Here is a 21,368-nt window from a genome sequence, read left to right on the forward strand (position 1 = left end):
TTGCTGAAGGATGGGAATGACTGACAAGAGAAAGTATGGGAAGTGCGTTCTAGGCAGAGAAGAGTTTGAGCAGAAGCAAACTGGTGCCCAAGTCAATGGTGTGACTGAGGAATGAGAAGCAAACAAGCATGACTGGAGAATAGGATATATATGGAGAGGAATGATTGGAGGCAAGGCTGGTAAGACATAGGACAGGCCCATGTTGCAAAGAGTCTCAAATAACATGCTAAAGAGTTTCAACTTTATTTTTTAGACAATAAGGAGCTATTACTAGTTTTTACATACAGTTGACCTAATCTACTCAGCATTGAGAGATAACTCAGTAGGCTATATGATGGGTGGATTGGAGACTGCTGAAATGGTCTAAGGGAGTGAGAGTAAGGGCCAGATTTTGGTCACGGGAATGTAGAAGAAATTATGGCTTAAGAGACAATTTGGTGTTAGAATTAACATGACTTGGTGACTGTTAAGAATATGTGGCGGTCCGGGTGCGGTGGCTCATGCTTGTAATCCCAGCACTTTGGGAGGCCAAGGCGGGCAAATCACGAGGTCAGGAGATCAAGACCATCCTGCCTAACACGGTGAAACCCCGTCTCTACTAAAAATACAAAAATTAGCCGGGCATCGTGGCGGTCGCCTGTAGTCCCAGCTACTCAAGAGGCTGAGGCAGGAGAATGGCGTGAACCCAGGAGGCGGAGCTTGCAGTGAGCCAAGATAACACCACTGCACTCCAGTCTGGGCGACAGAGCAAGACTCTGTCTCAAAAAAAAAAAAAAAAAAAAAGGCTTAGAAGAGCACAGACATTTTGAGAAGGTTAAAGTTTAAGTGGCAGATGAAAGCAAATGTCCATAGAAGGAAAATGAGAAACCTGGAAGATTAATAATGTGAGCTTAAAGGATGTCAGGTAGCAAAAGCCCAGGAATGAGTTTCAAGAGTGAGGGATTGGCCGGGCACAGTGACTCATGCTTGTAATACCAGCACTTTGGGAGGCCGAGGCGGACGGATCACCTGAGGTTGGGAGTTCGAATCAGCCTGACCAACATGGAGAAAGCCCTCCTCTACTAAAAATACAAAAATTACCTGGGCATTGTGGTGCATGCCTGTAATCCCAGCTACTCGGGAGGCTGAGGCAGGAGAATCACTTGAACCCAGGAGGTGGAGGTTGCAGTGAGCTGAGATCATGCCATCACACTCCAGCCTAGGCGAGAAGAGCGAAACTGTCAAAAAAAAAAGAGTGAGGCCGGGCGCGGTGGCTCACGCCTGTAATCCCAGCACTTTGGGAGGCCGAGGTGGGCGGATCACGAGGTCAGGAGATCGAGACCATCCCGGCTAAAACGGTGAAACCCCGTCTCTACTAAAAATACAAAAAAATTAGCCGGGCGTAGTGGTGGGCGCCTGTAGTCCCAGCTACTTGGGAGGCTGAGGCAGGAGAATGGCGTGAACCCAGGAGGCGGAGCTTGCAGTGAGCCGAGATCCCGCCACTGCACTCCAGCCTGGGCGACAGAGCGAGACTCCGTCTCAAAAAAAAAAAAAAAAAAAAAAAAAAACAAAAAGGAGTGAGGGATTTATCTCCCAGTGTTGGACACTGAAAAAGTTGAAGATGGAGGCAGAGGCTATTGGCTTTGGCAATTAGGATACCTCTGGTAACCTCTGAGAGAACAGTGTTAATTGAATTATAAGGGTGGAAGCCAGAGAGCAGTAACTTGAAGACTTGGGGAATAGAGTCAATGTCGAGAAGCATCAAGGAGGAGAGAATAAAAAAAGTAGCTTGAGAAAGAAGCTGGTTGTGAGGGAGATATTTTTTAGATGAGGAGGTTTGAGATTGCTTGTAGGCTGAGAGAAAGGATTCAATAGAGAGGAAGAAATGGAGATTTTTAAAAATTAATTAAAAGTTTACAAAGCTGTTTTATTACTTTTTCCTCAGACAAACCATGAAAGGTAGTATAGCTATTATTATCACCATGTTATAGATGAGAAAAGCTGAGGCATTTCCCAAGGTCACAAAGTAAATAGTTTCCTTGTGACTCCTTCCAGATCTGTAGAGAAAGGAGAAATAATTCATTGAGTAGAAGCTGGGAAGGGATGATATGGCAAGGAATAGGGTAAAGACATAACTTTTGGTAGAATATTGTTTTCACTGAAAAAAAAGGGAAAGGTGGAGGTAAAGAATACCGAGAACTGGGAGGTGCATTAGAATGACTAAGCAGTAGATGATTAAAGCCCAGGATTGTGGTTCAGAGTGAAGAGGATAAAGAAAACTTTATGTTTCCTGATAGTTAGTTCCTAGTCTCTGATAATAAGAGATTTAGAAAGTTGTAAGAATTTTCCCAGTTTATATCCAGTCTATCAAACCTTTGGGCTCTGAGCATAGCTTTTAGAACTTGAGCTTTGAGCTTTTAAGGGAGCTAAAAAGTTTTAGATACCTGGCTATCTATGTGTGTCTCTTTTACAGGGATTTTAATTTTTTGAATTTTAAGGGAAAAATGTTAGCTGCTAGCCTCATTGTTGGCATCATTTTTTCCACAGGGCATTTTAGATTATCTGGATAACATATCCCCTCAGCAAATACGAAAACTCTTCTATGTTCTCAGCACACTGGCATTTAGCAAACAGAATGAAGCCAGCAGCCACATCCAGGTAAGAGGCAATATGTTGGGAAAGATTTTTTTTTTTTTGAGACAGAGTCTAGCTCTGTCTCCTAGACTGGAGTGCAGTTGGCACGATCTCAGCTCATTGCAACCTCTGCCTCCTGGGTTCAAGCGATTCTCCTGCCTCAGCCTCCCAAGTGGCTGGGACTACAGGCACGTGCCACCATACCCAGCTAATTTTTGTATTCTCCATCAAAAAGTGGGCGAAGGACATGAACAGACACTTCTCAAAAGAAGACATTTATGCAGCCAAAAAACACATGAAAAAGTGCTCATCATCACTGGCCATCAGAGAAATGCAAATCAAAACCACAATGAGATACCATCTCACACCAGTTAGAATGGCAATCATTAAAAAGTCAGGAAACAACAGGTGCTGGAGAGGATGTGGAGAAATAGGAACACTTTTACACTGTTGGTGGGACTGTAAACTAGTTCAACCATTGTGGAAGTCAGTGTGGCGATTCCTCAGGGATCTAGAACTAGAAATACCATTTGACCCAGCCATCCCATTACTGGGTATATACCCAAAGGACTATAAATCATGCTGCTATAAAGACACATGCACACATATGTTTATTGCGGCACTATTCACAATAGCAAAGACTTGGAACCAACCCAGATGTCCAACAATGATAGACTGGATTAAGAAAATGTGGCACATATACACCATGGAATACTATGCAGCCATAAAAAATGATGAGTTCATGTCCTTTGTAGGGACATGGATGAAATTGGAAATCATCATTCTCAGTAAACTATCGCAAGAACAAAAAACCGCACACCGCATATTCTCAGTCATAGGTGGGAATTGAACAGTGAGAACACATGGGCACAGGAAGGGGAACATCACACTCTGGGGACTTTGTGGGGTGGGGGGAGGCGGGAGGGATAGCATTGGGAGATACACCTAATGCTAGATGACGAGTTAGTGGGTGCAGCACACCAGCATGGCACATGTATACATATGTAACTAACCTGCACATTGTGCACATGTACCCTAAAACTTACAGTATAATAATAATAAAAATAAAATAAAATAGAATAAAATTAAAAAAAATTTTTTTGTATTCTCAGTATTTTGTATTAATTTTAAACCTCTTGAAATTTGCTAGAAAAAAAAAAACAAGCAAATGATAGATTTCCTAGTGTGTAGTAGTGGAAATGGAGTACATAGCCATAGTACTAGCATTTTTTTTTCTTACCACAAACATTAAGTGCCTATTCTGTGCCAGGCACTGATATATTAGATCCTCTGCCCTCAAAAAGCTTTGTCTGTTAGGGTAGAGATGGGTCTGTGATCAGCTAACCATGAAACTGTTCAGTTTCTGAGTGCAGTGGGGACACAGAATTGCCTTGTTTTCTAAGAAACATCTCCATCTAATGTGAACTTCACGTGGGCTTGCTTTTGTTTGTGGGCGCCATTCACTGAAAAAGCCAGGCTGTAATCCCAGCACTTTGGGAGGCCAAGGCAGGCGAATCACATGTGCCCTGGAGTTTGAGACCAGCCTGGGCACCATGGTGAAACCCCATCTCTACAAAAACATAGAAAAATTAGCCAGGTGTGGTGGCACACACCTGTAATCCTAGCTACTCAGGAGGCGGAGGTGGGAGGATCCATTGAGCCCAGGAAGTTGAGGCTACAGTAAGCCATGTTTGTGCCACTGCACTCCAGCCAGGGCAACAGAGTGAGACTCTATCTCAAAATAAATAAATAAATAAATAAAACGAAGAGATTAGATTGGAATCATAACTTGTAACTCGTTTGTAGCTTTAGTGCTACCTTATGGCAGTAATTCATACTGGACTGTGACTTTGAACAACCAGCATATATATATATATACGTATATATATATATACGTGTATATACATATATATATGTATATACGTATATGTATATACGTATATACATATATACATGTATATACATGTATATACATATATATATATATATATATATATATATTTTTTTTTTTTTTTTTTTTTTTTTTTTGAGATGGAGTCTCGCACTGTCACCCAGGCTGGAGTGCAGTGGCGCAATCTCGGCTCCCTGCAAACTCCGCCTCCCAGGTTCCCGCCATTCTCCTGCTTCAGCCTCCCAAGTAGCTGGGACTACAGGCGCCCGCCACCACGCCCGGCTAATTTTTTGTATTTTTAGTAGAGTTGGGGTTTCACCGTGTTAGCCAGGATGGTCTTGATCTCCTGACCTCATGATCCGCCAGCCTCGGCCTCCCAAAGTGCTGGGATTACAGGCCTGAGCCACCGCACCCGGCCACAACCATCATATTTTTTATCTTTTTTTCCCCCCCTTTCTTGGATCCCCAGTCAGCACATTTTTTTTAATTAAAAAAAAAACTTTTGGACTAGGTAATATACATGTGTCATACAAAATTCAAAACATATAGAAGAGTATTCAGTGAAAAATAACTCTCACTTCTCAGTTCTGTAGGCACCTGGTTTGTCTCCCACAGGGGCAATCACTTTATAAGCTTCTGAGATGTTCTGAGAATTTACAAATTTGTGTTTACCTGTAGTTTCCTTTCCCTTCTTGTTCTACATCTTAGCTTTTGCATTTAGCAGTTTATTTTGGAGATTGCTTCAAATCAGCAATATAAAACTACTTCACTATTTTATTTTATTTTTGAATTTTGATAAAATATACATAATATAAAATAGACCGTTTAAGCTGTTTTTAAGGGTACAATTTAGTAGCATTAAGTATATTCACAATGTTATACAACCATTGCCACTATCCATTTCTAGAACTTCCTGATCATCCCAAACAAACTTTGTACCCATTAGGCAATAATTTGCCATCTTCCTCTCCCCACCCCCTAATAATCACTAATCACATTCTGTCTATGGATTTGTTCATTCTAGATGCCTCATATAAATGGAATCATACGATATGTATCCTTTTGCGTCTCGCTTATTTCACTTAGCATAATATTTTCAAGGTTCATGTAGGTTGTAGCATGCATCAGAACTTTATTCCCATTACAGCTATAATAATTCCATTCTTGGCCGGGCACGGTGACTCACGCCTGTAATCCCAGCACTTTGGGAGGCTGAGGCGGGCAGATCATGAGGTCAGGAGATCGAGACCATCCTGGCTAACACGGTGAAACCCCGTCTTTACTAAAAATACAAAAAATTAGCTGGACGTGGTGGCAGGCGCCTATAGTCCCAGCTACTTGGGAAGCTGAAGCAGGGGAATGGCGTGAACCCGGGATACGGAGCTTGCAGTGAGCCGAGATCGCATCACTGCACTCCAGCCTGGGAGACAGAGCGAGACTCTGTCTCAAAAAAAAAATAATAATAAATAAATAAATAAATAAATAATTCCATTCTTTGTTTTTGTTGTTGTTGTGTTTTATTTTGTTTTGTTGAGATGGAGTCTCACTCTGTCGCCCAGGCTTGAGTGCAATGGCACAATCTTGGCTTACCGCAACCTCTGCCTCCTGGGTTCAAGCAGTTCTCTTGCCTCAGCCTCCTGAGTAGCTGGGATTATAGGCACGCACCACCACTCCCGGCTGATTTTTGTATTTTTAGTAGAGATGGGATTTTGCCATGTTGGCCAGGCTGGTCTTGAACTCCTCACCTCAGGTGATCCGCCTGCCTCGGCCTCCCAAAGTGCTAGGACTACAGGCGTGAGCCACTGCGCCCGGCCCCCATTCTTTGTTTATACCACATTTTGTTTATCCATTCATCCATTGATGGACACTTGGGTTGTTTCCACCTTTTGGCCATTTGAATAATGTTGCTGTGACCATTGGTTTACAAATATTTGTTTGAGTCCCTGTTTTCAGTTTTTTAGGGTGTATATCTAAGAGTGGAATTGCTGGATCATATGATGACCATATGTTTACCATTTTGAGGAACCACCAAACTGCTTTCCATAGCAGCTGCATAATTTTACATTCCCACCAACAATGTATGTAGGTTCCAATTTCTCCATATCCTTGCCAACATGTATTTTCCTTTCTTAAAAATTTCTTTTGATTTTTATTAATTAATTAATTTAAAAATTATTATTATTTTTAGATAGGGTCTTATTCTGTTACCCAAGCTGCAGTGCAGTGGCGTGATCATACTTCACTGCAGCCTGGAAATCCTGTGCTTAAGCAGTCTTCCCACCTCAGCCTCCTGAGTACCTGGGACTACAGGTACCTGCCACCTCCCCAGGCCCTATTTTTTAACTATAATCATTCTGATGAGTGCGAGTGGTATCTCATTGTGGTTTGATTTGCATTTTCTAATGACTAATGATGTTAAGCATCTTTTCATGTACTTCTTGGCCATTTCTATATTTTTGTAGAAATGTCTATTCAAGTCCTTTACCCATTTTTGTTTGTTTTGTTTTTGAGATGGGGTCTCACTCTGTCACACACATTGGAGTACAGTGGTGTTATCTTGGCTTACTGCAACCTCCACCTCCCAGGCTCAAGCGATCCTCCCATGTCAGCCTCCTGAGTAGCTGGGACCATAGGTGTGCACCACCATGCCCAGCTAATTTTTTATAATTTTGGTAGACATTATGTTTTGTCATGTTACCCAGACTGGTTTGGAACGCTTGAGCTCAGGAGATCCACCCACCTCTGCCTCCCAAAGTGCTGGCATTACAGGCATGAGCCACCGTGCTCAGCCCTTTGCCCATTTTTAAATTAGGTTTTTGTCGTTTTGAGGTATGGGAGTTATTTATATATTCTGGATATTGATCCCTTATCAGATATATGATTTGCAAATATTTTCTCCCATTCTATGGGTTTTCACTCCCTTGATAGTGTCCTTTGATGCACTAAAGTATTTAGTTTCAATAAAGTCAAATTTATCTATTTCTTTTTCTTTTTCTTTCTTTCTTTCTTTTTTTTTTTTGAGATGGAGTCTCACTCTGTCACTAGGCTGGAGTGCAGTGGCACAATCTCAGCTCACTCCAACCTCCGCCTCCCAGGTTCAAGTGATTCTCCTGCCTCAGCCTCCCGTGTAGCTGGGACTAGGGGCATGCACCACAACGCCCAGTTAATTTTTGTATTTTTAGTAGAGACGGGGTTTCACCATGTTGGCCAGGATGATCTCAATCTCTTAACCTCATGATCTGCCTGTCTCAGCCCCTCAAAGTGCTGTGATTACAGGCATGAGCTACTGCTCCCGGCCTCCATTAAGTTTTAAGATGGCACTCACCATCTTTGTGAAAAGTTGAACATTACTAACAAAGTCTAATCATATCTTTAGAAGGGGTAAACAGTGATACCATTTACTGAATTGGAATTACTATTAAAATTAAAAAAAACAGCATATTCATTTAACCACAAACCAGTCTTAGTTTTAAATGAGGACCACCCAACAAGATATTCTGTCAGTCATTCATGATCTGAATTCTGGTGTATGAGATCTATTAAAGTATGGTACACATAAAAAAGTCATGAGATATTTGTTTTGTAATAAATAAGGCAGTGACCAATTATTACTCATTAGTAGCTTTTTTGAGTTAAGCTATCAAGTTTGCCCTTTCTGCCTTCTTAATTCCGGCAAAGATCATTTTTCTTCCAGGGATGTACTTCTTGGGATTCTCCAAATACTCCATCAGTGTATCCTCTCCCCAGGTGATGCCTTTGTTCTTATTGGTGTCTGTGTAAGAGAATCCAGTGGCCTGACCTGTCTTCCGCACGAAGAGACCGTGGAGATTAGGCCCACTCTTGTGCTTGTCTCCCTTTTCCACCGTGTGGCACTGGGCACACTTCTGAACAAAAATCTTCTTACCTTTCTCAGCATCACCCATATATAATTCTGTTTTTCATCGCTGGCACCACGAAGGTTGCCACTCCAAAGCTGTACGACCCACTCTCTATCAATTTTTTTTCTTGTGTTTCTTGTCCTTTTGGTTGTCATGCTTAAGATACCATTGCCGAATCCAAGGTCATGAAAGTTTTCTTTTATTTTCTTCTAAGAGAAGGTTTTAGCTCTTAAATTTAGGTCTTTGATCCACTTTGTGTTAATTTTTGTATATAGCTTATTTTAATATTTTAAGGATTTAACGTCATTCTTTTGCACATGGATATCCAGTTTTTCCAGTGCCAATTTGTTGAGAAGATGGTCCTTTCACCATTGAAATTACTTTGGCACCCTTGTCAAAAATCAATTTGTCACATATATGAAGGCTTATCTTTGAACTCTGTATTCTATTTCATTGGTCTATACGTCTGTCCTTCTGCCATCACCACACTGTTTTGACTGCTGTAGCTTTGTATTAATATTGAAATCAGGAAGTGTGGGCCCTCCAACTTTGTTCTTTTTCAAGGTTTTGGCAGTTTGGGGTCCCTTGAAATTCCATGTGAATTTTGGTATGGATCTTTCTGTTTCTGCAAAACATGTTGTGGGACTTTGATAAGGATTGCACTGAATCACTTTGAATGGTATTAGCAATATTAAGTGTCTTCCAATCCATGAAGACAGTAGCTCTTTCCATTTCCTTATGTCTTTAATGTTTTTCAGCAATGTTTATTTTATTATTTTATTTTATTTTGAGACAATGTCTGGCTCTGTCACCCAGGCTAGAGTACAGTGATGTGATCCTGGCTCACTGTGTTCTTGACTTCCCAGGCTCAGGTGATCCTCCCACCCCAGCCTTCCGAGTAGCCAGGACCACAGGCATGCACCACCACAGCTGGCTAATTTTTGTATTTTCTATAGAGATGAGGTTTTGCCATGTTACCCAGGCTGGTCTTGAACTCCTGGGTTCAAGCAGTCCAGCAGCCTCAGCCTCCCAAAGTGTTAGGATGACAGGTATGAGCTACTTCGCCCAGCCTTGCCTCCATGTTTAAATCTTTACCTGAGTATTTTATTCTAGTTCATTATTTTGGCTGAGCAGTGATCAACATTATGATAATTTTCATATCCTTATAGAAATAATAACAATAAAAGATATTATTATTGAATGTCTATCATGTGCTAGGCACTGTTCTAGAAGTTTTTTATAATGTATCGCTAATCCTTAAAACAACCTTCTCCATTTCGGGCCAGGCACGTAATCACCCCTGTAATCCCAGCACTTTGGGAGGCCAAGACAGGCGGATCACGAGGTCAGGAGATCGAGACCATCCTGGCTAACATGGTGAAACCCCGTCTCTACTAAAAATACAAAAAATTATCCGGGCGTGGTTGGTGGCGGGCACCTGTAGTCCCAGCTACTTGGGAGGCTGAGGCAGGAGAATGGCATGAAGCCGGGAGGTGGAGCTAGCAGTGAGCCAAGATGGCGCCACTGCACTCTAGCCTGGGTGACAGAGCGAGACTCCTTCTCAAAGAAAAAAAAAAAAAGTCCCCATTTCACAGATGTAAAAATTAAAACTTGGAGAGATGAATTGACTTGCTAAAGACACACAGGGCTGGGTATGGTGGTTCACACCTGTAATCCCAGCATTTTGGAAGGCCAAGGCTGGTGGATCACCTGAGGTCAGGAGTTCACCAGCCTAGCCAACATGGTGAAACCCCATCTCTACTAAAAATACAAAATAAGCCGGGCATGGTGGCGGGTGCCTGTAATCCCAGTTACCCAGGAGGCTGAGGCAGGAGAATCGTTTGAACCTGGGAGGCAGAGGTTGCAGTGAGCCGAGATTGCCCCTTTGCACTCTAGCCTAGGCAACAAGAACGAAAGTCCGTCTCAAAAAAAAAAAAAAACAGTTAGTAAACGGTAAACGCCTTTATAGTCTAGCTATATGGCTCGATATCCATACCTTCTTTTGCTGTGCCATTCCAGCATTTTCATCTTTCTTCATCATCTCATTGCAGGATGACATGCACTTGGTGATAAGAAAGCAGCTCTCTAGCACCGTATTCAAGTACAAGCTCATTGGGATTATTGGTGCTGTGACCATGGCTGGCATCATGGCGGCAGACAGGTACACGTGGAGATTCTGACTTCTGTGGTTTAAGATCAGTTAATCTTGCTAACTAAGTGTTACATCTCATAGACATCATTTTAGCAGTAGAAGTTACAACTATAAATGAGCAAATGTGTTTTGCTACTTTTCCATGTTCCCTTCTAATCGTGACTGTATATATTACCATGTATATGTTTTGCTGGAATGTGATCCTAGCCATTACAGTCTGTGGTTAAAAATTAAGGATTGGCTAGAGGTAAAATTCTAGAAATCTTTGCACAAAATGGGAACCCTGATTCTTTTAGAATGCATTTTTCTTTATCTGCTCCTGATATAGGCACTAGACAATGCAGGTGTCTACATTGCTGTGTCATTCCTGTCGGGAACTTTATACATTTGATACAAATAAGATCTTGTGTATTTCCCCTCACCTTGTTCCTTGAGGCCCCATTTGTAGAATCTAAAGAAATATCGGTTTGGGGGCTTGATAAGATGTTGCCATTACAAACCGACATTGGATTTCAGTTCATGCTCCTTGGAATTTATTTTCTGAGACATCAGGAGACATCTTTAGAATCCACATTGTGGAATCCTAATTAGGGAAAAGGAGTCACAATGGTGGGAGCAAAGAAAGCAAAGACAAAGTATGTAAGTCTGCCTTTTTTCATGGTGCAGGACATGCAGCCCTCCTGCGCCCAACTTAATCACCAGACACCTGCAAGTTAGCTCACTGCAACTTTGGCATTATCAGTACTGCACAAAGCCCTCTTCGGCATACAGCATACATCATAAATACTACTCTAGAAATCCCCAGCAAGCCGTTGTTTCCTTGCAGTCAGCTCCTCTATTGCTGGCTGCCCAGTGCTTTCTTGCAACGTACTTTTATACTTTCTCTAAGAAATCTGCCTTTCTTTACCTACAACTGTCTTAGTAAATTCTCCCTCTAACCCCACCCCAACCGCCACCGGCTCAGATAGTCATCACTCCCCTGTGACACACATTAATAATGGGAAGAGGTTGCAGAGTGTGCAACTCTAGTTAAGAGTTCAGTCAGTGAAGCCATACTGGTTGCCCAGGGTCAGATTCTGGCTCCATTGTTTATTAGCTGAATTACCTTGGGTAAGTTACTTTATCTCTCTGCCTTTGTAGACTCACATCAGCAATAAGGATAATAATAGGATTTACCTCATAGAGTCATTGAGAACATTAAAGGGTTAGAACAATGTTTAGTACATAATATGCACTAATTAAGTGCTTCCTCTAATTATTGCTAATTTGCCCTTAAAAAATATGTACGAAAAAGAAAAAAGAAAAAAATATATAGGATAACCATCCTTTGCTCTAATCTGTATTTTGTATGGACAAAATAAATACTCTTCGCTGCCTTCATGCACTTTTATCTTTACCCTACCCTAGGGAAGTCAGAATTCTTAAACTTATTGGCAGTTGTTACAAAATATTACAAAAGTGAAATTAAAATTCTGTGTTTTTACCAAACACCGCATGTTCTCACTCATAGGTGGTAATTGAACAATGAGAACACATGGACACAGGAAAGGGAACATCACACACCGGGGAATGTTGTGGGGTGGGGGAGGGGGGAGGGATAGCATTAGGAGATATACTTAATGCTAAATGACGAGTTAATGGGTGCAGCACACCAACATGGCACATGTATACATATGTAACAAACCTGCACGTTGTGCACATGTACCCTAAAACTTAAAGTATAATAATAATTTAAAAAAAAATTCTTTGTTTTTAGAAGTGAATCACCTAGTTTGACCCAAGAGAGAGCCAACCTGAGCGATGAGCAGTGCACACAGGTGAGTTCTTTTTTTCCTTTCTTTCTTTTTCCTGTCTTTTTTTTTTTTTTAGAGAGTCTCGCTCTGTCACCCAACCTGCAGTGCAGTGGCAAGATCTCGGCTCACTGCAACCTCCACCTCTCAGGTTCAAGTGATTCTCCTGCCTCAGCCTCCAGAGTAGCTGGGATTACAGGCACGCACCACCACACCCGGCTAATTTTTTATGTTTTTGGTAGAGACGAGGTTTCACCATGTTGGCCCCGCTGGTCCTGAACTCCTGAACTCAAGTGATCCACCTGCCTCGGCCTCCCAAAGTGCTGGGAGTACAGGCGTGAGCCACCTCGCCCGGCCGAGTTCTTATAATGTGATTGGATATGTTTATGAGTAACTGAAGAATTGCTTCTAGTCACTGTCAGTTCACCAGAAAGTGCTTCTTTTGTAAAAGAAGTTTTCCTGAACTCCTACTTCTGTGGTTTTCTGACACTTGGAAACTACTGGCTTGGGTAGCATTTATTTTTATGTTTATTTATTTATTTTTAGATGGAGTCTCAACTCTGTCGCCAAGGCTGGAGTGCGGTGGTGCTTCCCGGGTTCAAGCAATTCTCCTGCCTCAGCCTCCCAAGTAGCTGGGATCACAGGCATGCACCACCATGCCCAGTTAAATTTGTATTTTTAGTAGAGACGGGGTTTCACCATGTTGGGGTTTCGCTATGTTGACCAGGCTGGTCTCAAACTCCTGATCTCAGGTGATCTGCCCCCATCAGCCTCCCAAAGCACTGGGATTACAGATGTGAGCCACCACTCCCAGGCCAGTTGCATTTATTTCTATATCCATTTAATCTCTCTAATTAAATTATAAAGTCTTAGCAAGAAAGATATGCCATGTTTATGGAATAACACTTTGGTTGAAGCATGGGGACAAATAAGTACATAATTGGAAAGTGGGACATAAAGCTAGTTCAGGCAGGGCACGGTGGTTTGCGATTGTAATCCTAGCACTTTGGGAGACCAAGGCAGGAGGATCACTTGAGGTCAGGAGTTTGAGACCAGCCTGGCCAACATGGTGAAATCCCATCTCTAATAAAAGTACAAAAAAATTAGCTGGACATGGTGGCAGGCGCCTGTAGTCCCAGCTACTCAGGAGGCTGGGGCAAGAGAATTGCTTGAATCCGGGAAGTGGAGGTTGCAGTGAGCCGAGATCACACTACTATACTCCAGCCTGGACGACAGAGCAAGGCTCCATCTCAAAAGAAAAAAAGAAAAAGCTATTTGAGAGAGAAAACAGAGAGCCTTGCATGTAAAGCAATACATTTTTATTTCATTCTTTAGGCAGAGGTATTCCTTAAGGGTTTCTTAGCATGGAAATGGCAAAATCAAAGGTTTACTTTAGAAAAATTAATCTGGCTGCAGTGTCTGGCAGATTGGAAAAGGGATGATATCAGAAGGAGACAGACGGGTCAGAACATTCAGGAAAACTTCAAGTGAGACATAGAGCTTTGCCAGTAAAATCAGAAAGTGAAAAAACAGTCTTGAAAGGGGCGAGTGGAGTTTGGGAAAGATTGGCAGCCCAAGGTTTAAACCATTCTTCCTCTTTGCTCCAGGTGACCTCCTTGTTGCAGTTGGTTCATTCCTGCAGTGAGCAGTCTCCTCAGGCCTCTGCACTTTACTATGATGAATTTGCCAACCTGATCCAACATGAAAAGCTGGATCCAAAAGCCCTGGTAAAGCCAATTGTCTTTTCTTAAAGCAATAAAGCATGAGAGCTGCTTTACTACACTCTTCAAGTCTTTCTGTTGCAGTGTGAAAATAGATCATCCTGTGACCTCTCCTAAATTCTAACTGGGAAAGGCTTTTCTGCCCTACCCTGTCTCACGGCTCTTCTCTGAGGGCTCCTTCACTTAATAACAATCACGATAGTAAAGAAGAGATTGACTTTGTTAATGATGATGGCTATTATCTGTCTGAGAGCCCTATTCTGTGCTGGGCCTTGTGCTAAGTGCTTTTTATGCACTCTCTCTTTTCTACTTCACAATAGTGAGATATTTATTATTACTTTCTTTTTAGAAATGAGGGAACTGAGACTTAGAAAGGTTAAGAGTAATTTATCTAGGGCTGTACAGCAAGTACACTCTGCACTGCCCTTTTTGTTTGTTTGCTTCCTGAAGGAATGGGTTGGGCATACCATCTGTAATGATTTCCAGGATGCCTTCGTAGTGGACTCCTGTGTTGTTCCGGAAGGGTAGGTATTGTTTACCTGCTGGCTTGGTTGCACTGGTGAAGTTACATCAATTCTGTCAGTAGCTGATACAAACTTCAGAATACCCTTCACCTCAGCCACAGCTGCCCAGTCCCACAGCTTCTTTCCTCCCAACCCCAGCACCCCTGCACCCTTAGCTCCAAAATTCCTAAAAGGTTCACTGTTTGTTCTTCTAATTTCTCCCCATGATGTTGTGTTTGAAATTGGTTTGCTCTAGTGGTTTTCCCTGTAGCCTTGCGTATTCCTGAGCTGCAACATCAGATTCTGGTTTTTCTCCGCAGTGACTTTCCATTTCCTGTGAAAGCACTGTACGGACTGGAAGAATACGACACTCAGGATGGGATTGCCATAAACCTCCTGCCGCTGCTGTTTTCTCAGGACTTTGCAAAAGATGGGGGTCCGGTGACCTCACAGGAATCAGGCCAAAAGTCAGTATAGTTTTTCTTTTCTAAACCTGTTAGTGTTTTGAATGTTCATGGGGAATTCCACAGCTCTTGGTGGGGAAGTTGAGTCAAAAAAGTTTCTCTCGAGACAAATGGTATTTGGAGAGGTTAGGGAGAATGGGGCAGATTCCTTGTTTTTTCTTGGATCCTTGGCTTGAGATTTATATTGCCTTGTGTGAGCCAACAGATATTCTGAGATTACTTTCTGGCCAACGTGGCGAAACACTGTCTCTACTAAAAATACAAAAATTAGCCGGGCAGTGTGGCATGCACCTATAATCCCAGCTACTCAGGAGGCTGAGGCAGGATAATTGCTTGAACCTGGGAGGCAGAGGTTGCAGTGAGCTGAGATCGTGCCACTGCACTCCAGACTGGGCGACAGAGCAAGACTCTGTCTCAAAAAAAGAAGTTGTGTTCCCTATGTATGTGGAGTAATATCTCCCTATGTACGTGGAGTAATACACCTATGAAGTGTGGTCTAGAAATTTATTTCTCCTTCTCAGATTGGTGTCTCCGCTGTGCCTGGCTCCGTATTTCCGGTTACTGAGACTTTGTGTGGAGAGACAGCATAACGGAAACTTGGAGGAGATTGATGGTCTACTAGGTATGGGATGAAGTCATCAGATCCTTTCTTCTTTATACTCTTCCTTTGGTAAACTTAGGGAAAGGGCAGATCAATACATGGTGTATGTGGGGAGGAATTTTCTAACTTCAGCAGAATAGTTTATCATTGGAATTCCAAAGACAAAATAGTACATACAGAATCCCATTATGTTAACAAATCAATTGTTGCAAAAACTTTCTAGTTATATTTGTTGATTGCTATATGATATGCAAATATTTTAATCAGATCTTGGCCTTCAAATATGAGTTAAAGGGGAAAGTAAATAGCAAGGACAGCTAGCTCCAGAGGCAACCTCCAGGTTTTATTGGCTTGCACTAAAGGTAGTTGGAAATGTTTGTTCTCTCTCAGATTGTCCTATATTCCTAACTGACCTGGAGCCTGGAGAGAAGTTGGAGTCCATGTCTGCTAAAGAGCGTTCATTCATGTGTTCTCTCATATTTCTTACTCTCAACTGGTTCCGAGAGGTGAGCAGAGTTAATAGGATGTTTCACTTATTGTGCATAGTTTTTCTCAAAACTATTTTCTTAGTTCCCACAAGACTCCCTAGAAGTCTTCACCAAGCACTAACCCCCGTGTGCTTCTCTAGCTGTTATGTCCCACCACTCCCCAGTTATATGAACCTCCTTAGGTAGCCAAATGAGAATACTTAGAATTCACTTCACATTGCCCATGCTTTATTTTCTCCAAGCTGCCTTCTCCCTAGAATGACCTTCTCACCTTCACTGTGGAACTACTGTTCGTCCTGGCACAGGCATATGCCTACTGTTTTGATTCAGTGAGTGGTGGTAGTTTCCCTCCCATTAGAATGTATTTGTGTTTGGTGATAATGACAATGATGGCAACATCTTATATCTCTACCTCACTGTCTTCCTCTCTGATATTATTTCAGGAATGTTTGTGCACTTGAATGAGCTTATTTGATTACCACATCTCTATTATGATACGGGCAGGATAGCTATTGTCCTCATTTTACACATACGAATTTCAATAGGGAGTTCAAAGTCATTAAAAATTTTTAAGTACTTACACTGTACCAAGTGCTGGACTCATTTCTTTATGAAGAAATACTTAGAAAGGTTAAAGACTCAGCCAAGGTCACACAGTAAGTAGCAGTATAGAACTTGTTTCACCAAATTGTGTGCTGTCTGGCTATTCCACCTTGTAACATAACTAGTAATAAGTAAAACTAGGGTCACAAGCCTAATCTCCTTTGTTTTTTGTTTTTTTGAGACAGAGTCTTGCTCTGTCACCCAGGCTGGAGTGCGGTGGCTCAATCTCGGCTCACTGCAACCTCCGCCTCCCAGGTTCAGGCAATTCTCCTTCTTCAGCCTCCCTAGTAGCTGGGATTACAGATGTGTGCCACCATGCCCAGCTAATTTTTGTATTTTTGGTAGACATGGGCTTTCACCATGTTGGCCAGACTGGTCTCAAACTCCTGGCCTCAAGTGATCCTCCTGCCTCAGCCTCCCAAAGTGCTGGGATTACAGACATGAGCCACCACGCCTGGCTGAATCTCCTATATTTTGGGCCAGAGATTTTTTTTCTGTATACCACGTTGTTGAGGACAGTTCTATTACAGACTAAACTCAAAGATCTTGCTTTTCATAGACATCTCTCAGCTCTGGATAAATAATATAAACAAGGTTAAAATCTGAACATTTGGAAGTATGAGAATGTAATTTGTACTTTGCAGATTGTAAATGCCTTCTGCCAGGAAACATCACCTGAGATGAAGGGGAAGGTGCTCACTCGGTTAAAGCACATTGTAGAATTGCAAATAATCCTGGAAAAGTACTTGGCAGGTAAGAGAAGTGTCCTATACTGGTAGTACTACTAGGCCAGTAGTGAGGCAATAAAGCACTTAGCTTTCCCTGATACCAAAACCAGACAAAGACACATCAAAAAAAGAAATCTCAGGCCAATATCCCTGATGAACATTGATACAAAAATCCTAACAAAATACTAGCAAACCTAATTCAGCAACACATTAAAAATATCAGCTGGGCACGAGGTGGCTCACGCCTGTAATCCTAGCACTTTTGGAAGCCAAGGCGGGTGGATCACTTGAGGTCAGGAATTCGAGACCAGCCTGGCCAACATGGTGAAACCCTGTTTGTACTAAACATACAAAAATTAGCCAGGCGTGGTTGTGGGCACCTGTAATCCCAACTACTTGGGAGGCTGAGACAGGAGAATCGCTTGAACCTGGGAGGCGGAGGTTGCAGTGAGCCAAGATTGTGCCACTGCACTCCAGCCTGGGTGACAGAGCGAGACTCCCATCTCAAAAACAAACAAAAGAAAGATTATTCATCATGGCCAAATGGGATGATTTATCCCAGGGATGCAAGGATTGTTCAACATATGTAAATCAATGTGATACCTCCTATCAACAGAATGAAGGACAAAAACCACATGATATTTAAATTGATGCTTAAAAAAATTTTATAAAATTCAACATCCTTTCATCATAAAAAACCCTCAGAAAACTGGGTATAGATCCATAGCTACTATTAAACTGAACAGAAAAAAACTGAAAGCCTTTCCTCTAAGATCTGAACAAGACAAGGATACCCACTTATATAATACCACTATTATAAAATACAGTATTGGAAGTCCTAGCTAGAACAATTAGACAAGAGAGAGAAAGAAAGAAAGGGCATCCAAATTGGAAAGGAAGATGTTAAATTATCCTTGTTTGCAGATGATATGATCTTATATTTGGAAAAGCCTAAAGACTCCACCAAAAAACTATTAGATAAATTCAGTAAAGTTGCAAGATACAAAATCATCATATAAAAATGAGTAGCATTTCTGTATGCCAACAACTAAGAATCTGAAAAAAATCAAGAAAGTAATCCATTTACAATAGCTACAAATAAAATAAACAAAAGTTACAAATAAAATAGGAATAAGCTTAACCAAAGAAGTGAAAGAGCACTATAATGAGTACTATGAAACATTGATGCAAGAAATTAAAGAGCAAATAAAAAAAGGAAAGATACTTCATGTTCATGGATCGGAAGAATTAATATTGTTAAAATTTCCATGCTACCCAACACAATCTACAGATTCAAGGCAATCCCTATTAAAATACCAATGACATTCTTCACAGAAATAGAAAAAAAAAAAGCCTAAAATTTATATAGAACCACCGAAGACCCAGAATAGCCAAAGCTGTCCTGAGTAAAATGAATGAAACTGGAGGAATCGCATTACCTGACTTCAAATTATACTACAGAGCTATAGTAACCAAAACAGCATGGTGCTGGCACAAAAACAGATGCATATACCAATGGAACAGAAGAGAGCCCAGAAATAAGTCCATACACCTACAATGAACTCATTCTCAGCAAAGGTGCCAAGAATATACATTGGGGAAAGACACTCTCTTCAATAAATGGTGTTGGGAAAACTGGATATCCATATGCAGAAGAATGAAACTAGACCCCTATCTCTTGCCATATACAAAAATCAAAATGGATTATAGACTTAAATCTAAGACTTCAAATTATGAAACTACTAACAACAACAACAAAAAACATTCAGAAAACTCTTCAGGACATTAGAGTGGGCAAAGATTTCCTGAGGAATACCCTACAAGCACAGGCAACCAAAGCAAAAATGGACAAATGGGATCACATTAAGTTAAAAAGTTAAGTTCCTTTCCTCTGCATAGCAAAGGAAACACCAAAGTGAAGAGACAGCCCACAGAATGCGAGAAAATATTTGCAAACTATGTATCTGACAAGGGACTAATAACTGGAATATATAAAGATAGGAAAAAAAATTATTCGGATTGAAAAATGGGTAAAAGGTCTGAATAGACATTTCTCAAAAGAAGACATACAAATAGTGGATATGTGAAAAGGTGCTCAACATCACTGAGCCTCAGAGAAATGCAAATCAAAACTGCCATGTGATGTCATCTCACCCTAGTTAAGATGCCTCTCCCCCTCCCCCTCCCCCTCCCCCTCTCCCGTCTCCCTCTGATGCCGAGCCAAAGCTGGACTGTACTGCTGCCATCTCGGCTCACTGCAACCTCCCTGCCTGATTCTCCTGCCTCAGCCTGCCGAGTGCCTGCGATTGCAGGCGCGCGCCGCCACGCCTGACTGGTTTTCGTACTTTTTTGGTGGAGACGGGGTTTCGCTGTGTTGGCCGGGCCGGTCTCCAGCTCCTAACCGCGAGTGATCCGCTAGCCTCAGCCTCCCGAGGTGCCGGGATTGCAGACGGAGTCTGGTTCACTCAGTGCTCAATGGTGCCCAGGCTGGAGTGCAGTAGCGTGATCTCGGCTCGCTACAACCTCCACCTCCCAGCCACCTGCCTTGGCCTCCCAAAGTGCCGAGATTGCAGCCTCTGCCCGGCCGCCACCCCGTCTGGGAAGTGAGGAGCGTCTCTGCCTGGCCGCCCATCGTCTGGGATGTGAGGAGCCTCTCTGCCAGGCTGCCCAGTCTGGAAAGTGAGGAGCGTCTCTGCCCGGCCGCCATCCCATCTAGGAAGTGAGGAGCGTCTCTGCCCGGCCACCCATCGTCTGAGATGTGGGGAGCGCCTCTGCCCCACCGCCCCGTCTGGGATGTGAGGAGCGCCTCTGCCCGGCCGCGACCCCGTCTGGGAGGTGAGGAGCGTCTCTGCCCGGCTGCCCCGTATGAGAAGTGAGGAGACCCTCCGCCCGGCAACCGCCCCGTCTGAGAAGTGAGGAGCCCCTCTGCCCGGCAGCCGCCCCATCTGAGAAGTGAGGAGTCCCTCCGCCCGGCAGCCACCCTGTCTGGGAAGTGAGGAGCGTCTCCGCCCGGCAGCCACCCCGTCCGGGAGGGAGGTGGGGGTCAGGCCCCGCCAGGCCAGCCGCCCCGTCCGGGAGGGAGGTCAGGGGGTCAGCCCCCCGCCCGGCCAGCTGCCCCGTCCGGGAGGTGAGGGGCGCCTCTGCCCAGCCGCCCCTACTGGGAAGTGAGGAGCTCCTCTGCCGGGCCAGCCTCCCGGTCCGGGAGGGAGGTGGGGGGGGTCAGCCCCCTGTCCGGCCAGCCGCCCCGTCCGGGAGGTGAGGGGCGCCTCTGCCCGGCCGCCCCTACTGGGAAGTGAGGAGCCCCTCTGCCCGGCCACCACCCCGTCTGGGAGGTGTACCCAACAGCTCATTGAGAACAGGCCGGGATGACAATGGCGGTTTTGTGGAATAGAAAGGGGGGAAAGGTGGGGAAAAGATTGAGAAATCGGATGGTTGCCGTGTCTGTGTAGAAAGAAGTAGACATGGGAGACTTTTCATTTTGTTCTGTACTAAGATAAATTCTTCTGCCTTGGGATCCTGTTGATCGGTGACCTTACCCCCAACCCTGTGCTCTCTGAAACATGTGCTGTGTCCACTCAGGGTTAAATGGATTAAGGGCGGTGCAAGATGTGCTTTGTTAAACAGATGCTTGAAGGCAGCATGCTTGTTAAGAATCATCACCACTCCCTAATCTCAAGTACCCAGGGACACAAACACTGCGGAAGGCCGCAGGGTCCTCTGCCTAGGAAAACCAGAGACCTTTGTTCACTTGTTTATCTGCCGACCTTCCCTCCACTATTGTCCTATGACCCTGCCAAATCCCCCTCTGCGAGAAACACCCAAGAATGATCGATAAAAAAAAAAAAAGAAAAAAAGAAAAAAAAAAAAAGATGGCTTTTATCCAAAGGACAGGCAATAACAGATGCTGGTGAGAATATGGAGAAAAGAGAACCTTTG

General features: G+C 43.1%; 1 protein-coding gene and 1 pseudogene across 5 annotated transcripts in view, besides 6 other annotated features; one reads left to right on the forward strand and one right to left on the reverse strand.

Moving 5' to 3' along the window:
• The window catches only part of FANCD2 (FA complementation group D2), a 75,496-nt gene that overhangs the window by 23,424 nt on the left and 30,704 nt on the right, over positions 1-21,368 (forward strand). For 4 of the 5 annotated variants that reach the window (NM_001319984.2, NM_001018115.3, NM_033084.6 and 1 more), the window contains exons 18-26: positions 2,527-2,637; positions 10,434-10,543; positions 12,291-12,351; positions 13,932-14,051; positions 14,496-14,569; positions 14,869-15,015; positions 15,534-15,634; positions 16,004-16,119; positions 17,349-17,457. In NM_001319984.2, the coding sequence (NP_001306913.1) occupies positions 2,527-2,637; positions 10,434-10,543; positions 12,291-12,351; positions 13,932-14,051; positions 14,496-14,569; positions 14,869-15,015; positions 15,534-15,634; positions 16,004-16,119; positions 17,349-17,457 (949 nt within the window). The remainder of the gene's footprint in view (positions 1-2,526; positions 2,638-10,433; positions 10,544-12,290; positions 12,352-13,931; positions 14,052-14,495; positions 14,570-14,868; positions 15,016-15,533; positions 15,635-16,003; positions 16,120-17,348; positions 17,458-21,368) is intronic. The other variant, NM_001374253.1, reaches the window with a different exon arrangement.
• Positions 1-21,368: part of a biological region, named in NCBI's record as "3p25 FANCD2 Alu-mediated recombination region", that runs on past both edges of the window. NCBI's record gives its function as "recombination_partner: LOC107303341 | LOC107303342".
• Positions 167-1,078: a meiotic recombination region, noted in NCBI's record as "meiotic double-strand break mapped by DNA meiotic recombinase 1 chromatin immunoprecipitation followed by single-stranded DNA enrichment and sequencing in the germ cells of some male individuals with the PRDM9 A/A genotype". NCBI's record gives the evidence for it as "EXISTENCE:chromatin immunoprecipitation-seq evidence [ECO:0000229][PMID:25395542]".
• Positions 525-537: a nucleotide motif, noted in NCBI's record as "nucleotide motif; similarity to the predicted 13-mer PRDM9 A binding motif (LD hotspot motif), CCNCCNTNNCCNC".
• CYCSP11 (CYCS pseudogene 11) lies at positions 7,802-8,495 on the reverse strand (annotated as a pseudogene).
• Positions 17,655-17,956: a mobile genetic element, noted in NCBI's record as "direction; forward".
• Positions 17,737-17,757: a non allelic homologous recombination region, noted in NCBI's record as "AluSx1 recombination sub-region, recombines with the AluSx recombination sub-region within the 3p25 TATDN2 Alu-mediated recombination region". NCBI's record gives the evidence for it as "EXISTENCE:nucleotide sequencing assay evidence [ECO:0000219][PMID:19280651]".
• Positions 20,363-21,327: an enhancer, noted in NCBI's record as "NANOG-H3K27ac-H3K4me1 hESC enhancer chr3:10111907-10112871 (GRCh37/hg19 assembly coordinates)". NCBI's record gives its function as "activates a minimal SCP1, AML or CMV promoter by ChIP-STARR-seq in primed H9 embryonic stem cells {active_cell/tissue: H9 hESC(primed)}" and the evidence as "EXISTENCE:reporter gene assay evidence [ECO:0000049][PMID:30033119]".

Source organism: Homo sapiens, chromosome 3 (genome assembly GCF_000001405.40).
Source record: "Homo sapiens chromosome 3, GRCh38.p14 Primary Assembly".
NCBI classification, from domain to species: domain Eukaryota; kingdom Metazoa; phylum Chordata; class Mammalia; order Primates; family Hominidae; genus Homo; species Homo sapiens.